This window comes from Homo sapiens, chromosome 7 (genome assembly GCF_000001405.40).
Source record: "Homo sapiens chromosome 7, GRCh38.p14 Primary Assembly".
NCBI lineage: Eukaryota > Metazoa > Chordata > Mammalia > Primates > Hominidae > Homo > Homo sapiens.
This window is the reverse complement of record NC_000007.14, coordinates 125,340,658-125,353,800: the sequence shown is the minus strand read 5'-3', so window position 1 is coordinate 125,353,800 and position 13,143 is coordinate 125,340,658. Positions and strand designations below refer to the sequence as shown.

The 13,143-nt window shown below is 34.4% G+C and overlaps 1 long non-coding RNA gene and 2 pseudogenes across 1 annotated transcript in view; all 3 read right to left on the bottom strand.

Moving 5' to 3' along the window:
• Window positions 1–13,143, bottom strand: part of LOC101928283 (uncharacterized) — a 194,753-nt gene that overhangs the window by 25,521 nt on the left and 156,089 nt on the right. Inside the window, exon 7 of the long non-coding RNA NR_110188.1 lies at window positions 6,594–6,676. This is a non-coding gene — a long non-coding RNA (uncharacterized LOC101928283). The remainder of the gene's footprint in view (window positions 1–6,593; window positions 6,677–13,143) is intronic.
• Window positions 7,604–7,976, bottom strand: PPIAP93 (PPIA pseudogene 93; annotated as a pseudogene).
• Window positions 8,044–8,855, bottom strand: MTX2P1 (MTX2 pseudogene 1; annotated as a pseudogene).

Below are 13,143 nucleotides of genomic sequence, written 5' to 3'. Positions count from 1 at the left end.
GTCATTGAGGAAACTAGAAACTGATCTTAGGCCCCGAGCTAGACTTCAGTGTTACTATAAGCATTCATGTACAAAACATTCTTATATCTCTCTAAATAAGTGACTTTGGTTTCTTTACCAACTAAGTTTTATTTTTACTCCATCTACTCTGTCTTCCACACAGGTAAGCTTTATTGAGCTACCCAGTCACAAAATGCCCTGCTTTCTGACAGCACCCAGTGTGGGTCAAAACCCTGCTTCCTCAGACTCTCTCCAAAATTACCTATGAAAACCCAAATTCAATAAAAACTTCTTTCTATCATCTTTCTGAGATGCCTCATGGTTATCTATGCTGTGCATTCTCTTTTCTTGTAATTAAAAATAAATTTAATTGTTCAACTGTTGATATGCTCATGGCAAAGGCAAAACCATAAGGATAGAGAGAACTATAGTGGTTGCCAAGATTTAAAGTTGGAGGAAAGTAGGTTTAGTTACAGAAGGACAGCATGAATAGTATCTCTTGCATGATGGCACTCTTCTGTATCTTCATTGTGGTGGAATTTGCATGATTATGCATTTGTAAAAACACATAATATATACCTATGACTAAATTTTAATATGTGGAAGTTAGAAATTCACTATATGTAAGTTAGAACAAATTTTTATTTCAATTTTTATTTTAGATTCAAGGAGCACATGGACAGATTTGTTACACTGGCATATTGTGTGATGCTGAGGTTTGGAGAGCACTTGATCCCATCACCCAGGTAGTGAGCACAGTTTCCAGTAGGTAGTTTTCCAGCACTTTCTCCCTCCCCTCCTTCCCCTTTTTGAGTTCCCAGTGTCTATTATTCCCATGTTTCTATCCATAGTTACCCAATGTTTAGCTCCCACTTATAAGTGAAAAAGTGGTGTTTGGTTATCTGTTCCTGCATTAATTCGCTTAGGATAATGGTCTCCAGCTGCATCCATGTTGCTGCAAATGGCATGGTTGCATTCTTCATGGCTGCATTGTATTTCATGGTATACATGTACCACATTTTTTTAAATTCAATCCATCATGGATGGGTGCCTAGGTTGATTCCATGTCTTCGCTATTATGAATAGAGCTGCAATGAACATACAATTGCATGTGTCTTTTTGGTAGAACAATTTATTTTCCTTGTGGTATATACCCAGTAATGGGATAGCTAGGTTGGATGGTATTTCTTTTGTAAGTTCTTTAAGAAATCTTCAAGCTTCTCTCCACAGTGGTTGAACTAATTTACAAGGAATCATTTTTTATGAATTAATAATTAAAAATTCAAGATTCTTTCTAATTGTGAGACAGCTTATTCCTGTAATGGTGATTACTGCACTTAATTACATAAATAGAATTTTAAGCTATCAATAATATTAGCTTAGAGAATGTCAACACTTAAATTCCTTTTCAATTCAGCATTTCTTAAATTGGTGGATCATCAGAGAATAAAGCAAACTAGTCGTGCTTCTCTGTAATGATCCTCTTTTAATTATTTCTACTATTTTCTACATGGCACTATTTCCTAACATCTAAAAGATCACCAATATTTTTTGAACTGGAGACATTAAAAAGGAGAATTGTCTTTATAGCTCAGCTTTTGTTCCTTTATGTTCATGCTTTCTTCTCAGAATTCCTTTAGTACCTAGCCAATTTTCTACTTCTAATTAACCAATTATCACTACTTGTTTTTAAGGTAACTTCATGTTCTGCTTTTTAAAACTGCTAAATGTCTTTATAGACACTCTCTGTTCCTATTTGTAAGCTTTTGCTATTTTAACCCTCTATAAACTTCGAGACAGGAAATAGGGACTCCACATTCCTCCCAAATCACTACCATGGATCACAGCACTTGAATCTTGACTCTGTCCAGCACCCTTTATAAGTTTCTGGGGTATGACATAAAAATTTTAAAACCTTAAAGAGAAAAGGCTACAGAAAAAGAAAAGATACTGAAAAGATAATGTATAACAAATATTCAACAAAGTTGTTTTTTCCTGTTCAAGTAAAGTCACTTAATAAAGAATCAGAGATTGATTTGACTTTGACTCCTGTTGCCTGAAGGAAATTACTTAAACACACACACACACACACACACACACACACACACACACACACACAATCTTTATTCTATTCTCTAAACTATACCTAGGGAGAATGTTCTGTTTATAGATAACGGTTCCCTGAAACAAACTGCTTCTTTGTAAAATAAGTGTATAGTATATGATACCCTGTGCAGGTGAACATAAAATACTAAGACTCATGTACACGGATGAGTATGTCTTTATTTATAGAGAAGTTGGGGGATTTGGTTTTCTTTTTTTTTCTTTTCTTTTTTTTTTTTTTTTAAACAGAGTCTCACTCTGTCACCCGGGTTAGAGTGCAGTGGCCTGACCTCAACTCAGTGCAACCTCTGCCCCAGGGGTTCAAGTGATTCTCGTGCTTCAGCCTCCTGGGTAGCTGGGATTACAGGTACCTGCCACCACGCCTGGCTAATTTTTCTATTTTTAGTAGAGATAAGGTTTCCCCATGTTGGCCAGGCTGGTCTTGAGCTCCTGACCTCAGGCAATCTGCCCGCCTCAGCCTCCCAAAGTGCTGGGATTACAGGCGTGATCCACTGTGCCCGGCCTGGTTTTCTTTTTGACACGCTTTGGCTTTAGGAACACAGCCATAAATAGTTTGTCAGTCTTTTTTTCGCTGAATTCCAAGAGAAAGTTACTGAAATAGTAACTTCACACAGTCTTCAGATCCATCCTAACAATAGCCCAATCTCAACAGGTATTTTTGACCCACCTGATGATTTTGGAAAGAATGAAGGTGAAAAAGAGTCACAGGATAAAAATATGTGAAGGACTAAAGACTGAAAAATCACTGCATTGTAGCCTACACCGATGAAGGTGGGAGCCTGGGCTGAAATAGTTATAAGTAATACTTATTTTCATAATACCTCTTATTTTTGAAAGTATACTTACATGAATTATTTTGATGCTTAGGAAGTCTTACGCAGCAGACAGATCAAGTAACATTACTAACTTCTGTTGGTTGTGATAAAAATGAGTCTCAGGGGAATAAGCTCATTTGGTGGAACAGTCACTATGGGAATCTATAGCTCATTATTTGAACCCAGATTCCTCTTCACAATACTCGGTAGCCTATAAACAAATATGAACAAACCCCAAATTCACCCTTTTATCACTGTCTACCTATATTTCATTGTTTCTTATTTCCCCCTTTATTCTTCAAATAATCCCAATACACTTAAGAATAGCAACCATCTGCTAGTGTGAATTATCCTAGGGTGGGAGTTTCCCCTCAGGATCTCTTCTACAGTACCTATTTCTGATATCAAAGCCAAACTATAATATCTGTCGTTATATATTCTCTTCCTTTTTTCATTTTGTCTATTCTTACCCTTTTTAAATCTTTATTATTGAAATTTCTAATATTTATTTTGATGCCACACTCAGCAATTTTGGGTAAGATCAGGACTGATCATTGTAATTATTCTTGATGTTTTTCCTGAATCTTATTGGTAAAGTCAGTATTGACTTTCTTTTCTGATGATGTAATGAGAGTTTAATGGAATAAAGCAATAACGATAAAAGCTGGAACTCCTTACTCTGCCAAAAGTAATCAGCCTCTATTTTGAGATGAACAATTAGGGTTCATCATGATCAGGCTTCTATGTAGTTAGGATTCTATTCATTTAGTTTTATAAAGCCTTTTTTCAATGCTTGTGTGGTCTTGATTCCTGAATGTCATGTTGAACCTTTATGTGAGATAATGAAAAAGAAGTTTGGCTACCTGGGTCATTGGAAATGTACAAAGTTTCCATTGCATCATTCCTCTGAGGCAATATCACTATTGATTACTGTGAAACTTTTCTTTGAAGAGCACTAAAAATGATTAATGGTTTTACCTTGGTTATGCCCAAGAAGTCTTGACGTTGCCAGATTCAACTTGCAGATTTGGTTTAGTAATATCATTTACTTCAACAGTTTTAAGCAAAATACATTTTTGAAAAAAAAAAGAGACTTTCTCTTGACATATCTGGATTTAGTTTGTCTTACTGAACAGACTGCCCACAAAATTAGTGTGTGTGTAATTTTCTGTAACAAAGAACTCTTACCAAACCAAGATATGTTTGGAAAATGGAATCTTTCTATAATTCAAATTTCAGCCCAACCACCAAATGATTAAACCTCTCCCCAAAGTGCTCACTTCAATTAGTGTGTCTCTGGTCATTTCCCCATGGCACCTGGTATATATTTTTATTTAGATATATGTATCTCCAAATACATATATATATACACATATATATATACACATATATATATATACACATATATATATACACATATATATATATACACATATATATATACACATATATATATATACACATATATATGTGACACTCAATAAATTACTTCAAAAAAATTTATGAACAAGTACGAATTATAAATAGTCTGCTTGTAAAGAATTCAATGAATCAATGTACGATCAATAGAGTCCTGTAAAAACTTTCTTTCCGTATTTCCAGCATCAACAGTAGAGATGACTAAGAGAAAAACAACTCTTAGTTTCAGAGCCAAAGGAAAGTATGTCTCGGCCTACCTGTGAGTCAATCTAACTATCTATCTACACACATACATACATATGTATACACATACCTGTATTATGCATTTGGAAAAAAATATGATATTTTTAAGCAGGAGTCTTTTTGTTCCAATTTGGGTTCATATTTTATGAATTTGTTAAATATTTTATTAATATGTTAAATGCATTTATATACCGCTCTCAATAAATTAATCCATGTTGGTAATCTCTTTGCTTCTTTCAAAATATATCCCCCCATCAAATGTCTATAGACACTAATGAGAGAAGAATAGAAGGATAATGATAGAAGGATAGATGAAATGGAATAATTTAATTTCTTAATATCACAAAGCCCAAATGCACTTTTTTTCTAAATCATTTCTTAAATCCACTTTAAGTCCCTATTTCAGGTAATAACTGCTTATATCAAAAGATAGGAATCTGTAATTTAAGATATAAAAGTGAAAGCCTCAAAAATAACTGTAATCAATTTACATCTTGTACAATATTTAATGTGACAACTTTTTTTCAACACTCTTATTCTGGTAAAATAATATATCTAATATATGACCTTTAATACTAAAAATGAAGTTTTAGCATGCTTCGTGAAACATAGTAAAATTGCATAGAGGTATCAGAAATAATTTTCTAATTCTGCTTACAAAAAAGCCTCTGAAACGTATTCATAGTAAAATTACGTGTCATCATTGAAACCAGTAGAAGTTCATCTCATAAGAGATTCATAAACAAGCCAGGAGTGGGGGTTGTTTTGACTTAAAAATGTGTATTTTAAAAAATTAGTGGGACATGGTGGCACATGCCTGTAATCTGAGCTACTCGGGAGGCTGAGACAAGTGAATCACTTGAACCCAGGAGGTAGAGTTTGCAGTGAGCCGAGATTGCGCCATTACACTCCAGCCTGGGCGACAAGAGCGAAACTCTACCTCAAAAAAATAAATAAATAAAATAGTATTTTTCTCTAAATATTATTATTTTTTAGGTAATTATTCCCATGTTGAAATGTGTTAGTGCTCAAATCTACAAAATGCAACACACTATGAATTTAATTATTTAACAGGACAGTTTGGCCTCGTACTTCATCACAAGGAGTTAGATCCCTTCTCTCAGCTGTGCTCCCTCCCCGCATACAACCATTGTAATTAGTGGCTGGGAAACTACATGGTAGGACATCATTGCTTTTCCTCCTGTAAAGGACTAAATGTAAGGCAAAAAATAAACATATTCAAATATTCCTTATTTAAATGTATCTCATATGGCCTCAATCAGCTATAGGTAGGAATTAAGTTAGCATTTTTTTTCCTAAGGGGAATCTCATCATACAGAAAATGAGAGTTTCCTAGAGTAATCAAATTCAATTTCAGAGTCTAGGATATAAAACTAAGGTGTTGGTTCTCTACAAAGAGTGCAGCTAATGCAGAAAAAGTGCCTCCCACCCCACCCCTGAGAAAAAATATAAATACCATTTGAGCATTAGTAACACACCAAAGACTTGACGATGATTAACTATAAAAAGTTATAACACAAGGGACGTCTCTGTCGCCCTCCCTGAGTATTATACCGAAAAGAGTATTATTATTCATTCCTCAAGGAACCATGTTTATCCACATAAATAAACAAGTATCAGAAGTGGCCGTCATGTGGGAACCACTGGGTTTCAGGGTTAATGGCTTGTCTTGTTCTGTCCTGAGAATGAGGCCGGAAGGATGAAGGGAAATGAGATCAGACGGCCACTGTTTTGAGAATCTAGCCTAATCAGGACACTTAATTTCCTGGCAGGTTATCCCAGGAGACCATGAGAAAACTGATTCAATTACAAATATAAGTAACCCTGGATATCCTCAGAACTATATTTGGAATAAAACTCTTGAAAAAGACTGAATACCATGCTAATTTAATAGGTAGAGTTTTATAGATTTTTAAATAATAAAAAATATAATTAATCTTAGCAGTTTAAGTCTAATTATATGGTACTTACTATGTGCCAGCCATTCTTTGGAATCCGTTACATTTAATCAGCCTTTTGATCCACTCCATTTAACAGCTGGAATAACTGGGGTCCTGAAATATTAAGTAATTTGCTCTAGTACACACTTTTTAAACTGTCAAATAGTTTATTTTATTTAAAGCTCAATAAAATGTATAAATTGTTTCATATATGTGGACATAAATAGATGAGACATACTACAAAATAGTTGAACAAGAAGCCACTAGTTGTAAAAATTTAAAATAGAAAATTACAGTGTATTCAAAAAAAGTATATCATCTTAAATTTTGCTATAGATTGTAATATCTTGAAATACCTCAATATAACATCCATATTATTAAATAACAACCATATGCAACAGTAAGAAAAATACTATTCATTATCTGTCTGTCCAAAAACATCAAGAAATATTATTAGTGAGTCTCTCAGATTGACGTATTTTATAATTTCTATGTTTCCTGGAGTTAGGGTACTTCATGGATTAATACTATAGCTATTCACCCAATATTCAAGTCAATTAAAAGGTAACAAGTTGGATTTCTAAAAAGGCTCGTGGAAGGTAAAATTATTTTAAACCCAATAATGCACATCATTCCCATCATCAAAATGATACTGCAGACCGTGTTGATTTAAAGTTTTTCATATGTACAACAATCATTCTAAAAAGATATTTATGATTTAAGTTTTAATTTAAATAAGGATGCATACCACTTATTTATTCACTATATATAAGTATTTTGGCAGCAAAACATTTGACAGTAAACTGGATTTTAGCAAAAAAATTTGAACTACTGTGAGTTGGCTTTAGAAACCTAAAGAACTGCGGTGAGAGCACAAAGATTATAGTGAACAAATGAGGTGGATGGGTGCTCTCCTGAGCTGCAGAAGAAATGGTTTGGTGTTGAACACAAAACAAAAGTCAAATTTATTAGAGTTGTTCACAGTTCACAATGGTGATCTTCTTGCTGATCTTGTCATTCCATAATATCCACAACAGTCATACCCTCATGCCCTCTTTCACATTGTCCAGGCCCACATGGTTGCCATCCAACCATTCAGCCTTGGCATGGCAGATTAAAAATTGGAAACCATTTTTATTGGGTCCAGCATTTGCCATGGACAAGATGCCAGGACCTCTATGCTTCTGGATGAAATTTTCATAACCAAATTTCTCCTCGCATATGGATTTGCCATCAGTGCCATTATGGCATGAAGTTACCACCCTGGCACATAAACCTTGGAATAATTTTGTGAAAGCAGAATCTCGTATAACCAAATTCTTTCTCTACAGTTCCCAAAGCACAAAAGTTTTCTGCTGTCTTTGGAACTTTGCCTACAAACAGTTTGAAGAAGACGTGGCCCAAGGGCTCACCCTCTGCAGCTATGCCAAACAGAGTGGGGTTGGCCATGGCTAGTGGCAGGCACCTCCAGGCAGCAGCAGTGTCTTAGAAAAAAACACTGTTTATTCCACATGTGTAAAATTCAGTGAGTGACTTTCAGAAAGATCAAAAGAAAGTAAATGTAACATCTATGCTGTTGTTTAAACTTCATTTTTATATGCATGCATGTTTCAAGGAAACAAAACTTTCGAGGTATAGAATATAACATATCAAATGAAATAATTCAGAATTATCTTAACGTGTACACAAATAACAATATAAAGTACATATATAGGATACATTGTATAATTTGTTTTGAGGTTTCAAAAGGAAGTTATTTGGTTTTAAAATTCTGATACCAATATCTAATATAACATTCAACTAAAACGTATTTCAAAAGTTAAACTTTTGAAAATAATAACAAAATTAACACATAATTTTAAGGCAATCTGCCTTTATCACAATCGTCAAAATAGTGCCTTTCAATTCTTCTGCAGAGAGCAAGAAGGTTGCTGTAGTTTTTCACCTCAGAAAGTTTATCATTCATCAATCGTGTGGTAAGAATGGTGTACAAATGGCCAAATACCAGTGTATCAAATTCAGGAAGCTGCTTATTAAAAAAATATGGTTGTGTTACCAGACTTTTAGAGAGAGCTTGACAGCACTGGTCTATATCTTCTAAGACCTGGTCCAGAGTTTTCTTACGCCATCTGATAGCTTTCATCTTACATTTGACTTTTCACCATTTCTGATAGGCCAAAATATGATGCAGAGGCCAAGGGTAAGGAGATCCATACCTAGAATGAGTGATCTCCCAGATTTAGCTTCATCAAACCACTGAAGATACAACTAGTAACAAAAGAATATTCACTAAAATCTGGGAAAATGGAAATAAGATTAACAATACTTGGGATATTTGAATTTCAACTGAACTTATTTACTTGAGCTTGTTGGAAGATTATTTAACTTACTAAGACACAATTTCTTGTATCTTCCCAACTAAAAATATAGTCATTTTTACCAATGGAGCTTGAAAAACAAATCTTTTTTTGATAAATAATCATCTTGCTTTCAGCATCTAAAACTTATTACCAGAAACATACCTTCTGCCAGACAAATGGCATTATTTCTTATCCGAATGCCTAAGGGTATGATAGGCATTTTGATTGTTATTATTTTTTATTGTGTTTATTTCTGGAATTTTCTACTTTGAAGTTACCATCCTTGTCGTTAGCTAGAAGCTACAATATAAATTTTGCATTCAAGTCTCTGTGTTTTCTCCTTTGCATGCAAATATTATACTGTTTTCAAATGATAATATAATCAGTTCACATTTTTATTGGAAAGACTAAAATATTAACACTTTGTTCTCTTTGAAGACGATGATCTAAGTTTTATGTAGTAATCATTTCAATTAAATTATTGGTTCAAAGATACTATTTTAAATTTTGATGTAACATACTTGACAATGCTTTTATCAGATTAATGAAGCGTAGCTTTGCTTTTCAAATTTTATTTTGATACATGGGCTCATACCTTTGGTCCAATTCATTGATAATTGTGTTTAAGAATAGAAACAGTTCCAAATTTTGGATTTATATTTAAGATGAATATAAACATGCTTAGATTGTTCCAGTACATTCGATATCTTTAACTTAAAATTAGATATAAAAGTTGCTCTATTCCTGTTGATGCTCCTAAAATTTCACAGAATGTATTATGCAGAACACCTTCACAAAAAATTAAAAACAATATCATAAATAAAATAAAATCCTATGTTCCCTGTGTATTTATGAAAGTAAATTACCTATTCTTAAGAAGATGTAAAGTGACTTATCTCGATTTGAGATAAATATGATCAATGAGTAGTTAAAACTCAAAAGAGCTGAGGCTCAGCTTTGAATCTATGCAATCCCTGAAATTTGATTAAGTTGCTACTGGATTGCTAGTCTCTCAAAGTACCTGCCAGATACAAGCATACTATTTTAAGAGAGGATAATTTCATATGAGACCTTACTATTTCTATAATTTTGCTAATATGTATAACACACAATGTAAAATAAACAAATAAATACACTTAAAGAGGAAAACAATTATACAAACCAAAAGAATCAATGTAATCTGCAGATATAAATATAAATTTATGGATCAATTTGTCATATATGCCAAATAAAATAGAAGACAGAAGGCCAGGCGCGGTGGCTCACACCTTTGTCATCCCAGCACTTTGGGAGGCCGAGGCGGGCGGATCACGAGGTCAGGAGATCGAGACCATCTTGAATAACACGGTGAAACCCCATCTCTACCAAAAATACAAAAAATTAGCCGGGCGTGGTGGCGGGCGCCTGTAGTCCCAGCTACTCGGGAGGCTGAGGCAGGAGAATGGCATGAACCCGGGAGGCGGAGCTTGCAGTGAGCGGATATCGCGCCACTGCACTCCAGCCTGGGCAACAGAGCGAGACTATGTCTCAAAAAGAAGAAAAAAAAAAAGACAGAAGACACCCTGTTAAATTTGAATTTCAGAAAAACGTTGAATATCCTATGCAATATGTGGAACATACTTATACTAAAAAAATTATTCATTGTTAATCTAGAATTTTATTCAGCCCTTATCTGAAATTCAAATTCAACTGGACATTCTGTATTTTATCTGGAAACATCACTTATGAGAAACCCAAATATGAGACTTCCCAGAACCAGATTTTAAAATAACTGCACGAACAATGTTCAAGAAGTTAAAAGACAAAGAAGAAAGAAAGGGCTTCACAAGGTCACCAGCTACAGGTTTCAGCTGCAGTTGCCAGAAGAACAAGCAATGATTAGACAGACATCATTGCCAATGCCTATGAACAGCATAATGACAGCTCCTTCAATTTTAAAGTAGATTGAATATAGAAAGTGAAATGAAACTATTTAAAACTGAAGAAGAGATTTGAACAAACGGAAATCTCTCTACTTAGCAGGGTGGCAAATAGTGAGAAAGACCAGATGAACCATAGAAGTAATTTTGTCTCCAAGCAGCATTTTTTTGAAAATTTATTGCTAATTCTACCCTTATTTCTCATAATTTTTTCTCTCTTTTTGCAATTTACCTCTGTGAAGACTTTTTTTTTTTTTTTTTTTTTTTTTTTTTTGAGACGGAGTTTCGCTCTGTCGCCCAGGCCGGACTGCAGTGGCGCTATCTCGGCTCACTGCAAGCTCCGCCTCCCGGGTTCACGCCATTCTCCTGCCTCAGCCTCCCGAGTAGCTGGGACTACAGGCGTCCGCCACTACGCCTGGCTAAATTTTTTGTATTTTTAGTAGAGACGGGGTTTCACCGTGTTAGCCAGGATGGTCTCGATCTCCTGACCTCGTGATCCGCCCGCCTCGGCCTCCCAAAGTGCTGGGACTACAGGCGTGAGCCACCGCGCCCGGCCAGACTTTTTTTTTGTTTCATCTACATTTTCAGAATGGTAGGAAGCTGATCTGTGAGCTGATTTGTGAAATATCATGGCTGTACCTAAATAATTTGTGTAATTAAATCAGTATACTCTTTTTATATTCTTTTTCTTTTTATCATAATAGACATCTACATTGAGGTCAGCTTAACATTTTTCAATTTCTTTCAAATGGATAAATAACATTCTCTTTTGGCTAGGATTCCTGGCATTTCCTATGAAAAAGGTAGAGGATCTGCTTAGAAAGTTTTCATCTTAGAATTACTTGAATATTTTCTCCCTTTTCTAATTTAATCATCTATAGAATTCAGAGGGAGAATTAGGTAAATCTAAATTAAGTAAAAGTTATATTATTCTAAGCACTGCCACTAACATTTTACAGATAGTGTATGACATTATCTATAAACCTTTTCAAGAAGCTACAAACAGAATTAAAAATACATAAGAAGAGTGTTATTTGTCCCACATATTTTCCTTTTAAATAGTTGCAGCTTTCCTCAACTGGAGTGCTTTTGGTTTTTCTGAAGGATCAACATTTTGTTATGTGTCACTAATTACAGAAGTATTAGCCTTCTTGGCTTCAGTGCACTTAATTTGAGCATCCTCTATTGACAATAAAAGAAATCCTAAATATTTGAAGGTATAATCAGAAAATCAATAAAATTTCAATAGAAATAAAATTATAAAGCACCATGTAAATGAAATATACAGATACATAATATAACATATACATATATAAGAAAAAGGATATTTTCTTGCAGCATTCTTCAGTAATCTTTATTCAATTTAACATTTTAAGCAGTTAATCTTTATTAATCTAGCAATTCACTTGCCATCCCCACTTCTCAGGAGAAATAATAAGAAAAAATACAGTTTTCAATTTCTTAATAATTGATAATAATGCTGTTACATTTACTTATTTATAAGTATATTTAATAAATACATCTTTACAGTTGACAAGGCTCATGTGCCCTAAGGGTCCTTTAGGACGTAGAAAAGTATGTGACAATTGCCACCTCATAGATGAGGATGCTTAAGCCAGAAGAATTCAACTTACTAGCTCAAGATCACGCTGAAATTTGGAAGTGGATGCAAGATTAAAATGGAAGTCTTTTTACAGTAAGTATGGAGCTCTTTTTGGTACAATATTTGTCTGATTCTTCTGAAAAGTTTATATTTCATTGGTTTGTGGTTTCCTGGTGGTATATGATAGGGTCATTTGATATATTTTACATTGATCTTATTTAAAAGAAAATAAGGAACAGAAAATGGAAACAAGCTCTTTTTTTTGACTGCTTACAATATTCCAGCACAGTTTTAAGTGCTTTACATATATTAACTCATTTAATCATCCCAAAATGCTATAAAAAGAATCCAAATGGAGACTTTTCAGAGTCTTAACTTGGTTGAAACCACTGGTCTTCAACTGAGACCTCACTCCTGTGGGCTCTTTTAGTACACCCCCAGCTGCCACAGGACCATCTGTGACAAACGCCTGTGGATCAGGGAAAGTATGTGGTTCCATTTCTAACCAAAGCACATTTTCTTCGAGGCTTCAAACATATCCTGTAAAGTTCACATGGCCACTATAATCCCAAAGAATACTGGGGAGAAAATCGACCACATTGGTCAATATGCCAGTTTCTATTGATCAATGCCTGAAGAACAAGTCCCTGCAATATGCTGCCATTATCACAGAGCTATGGGCTTTCTTGTCGTTAATTC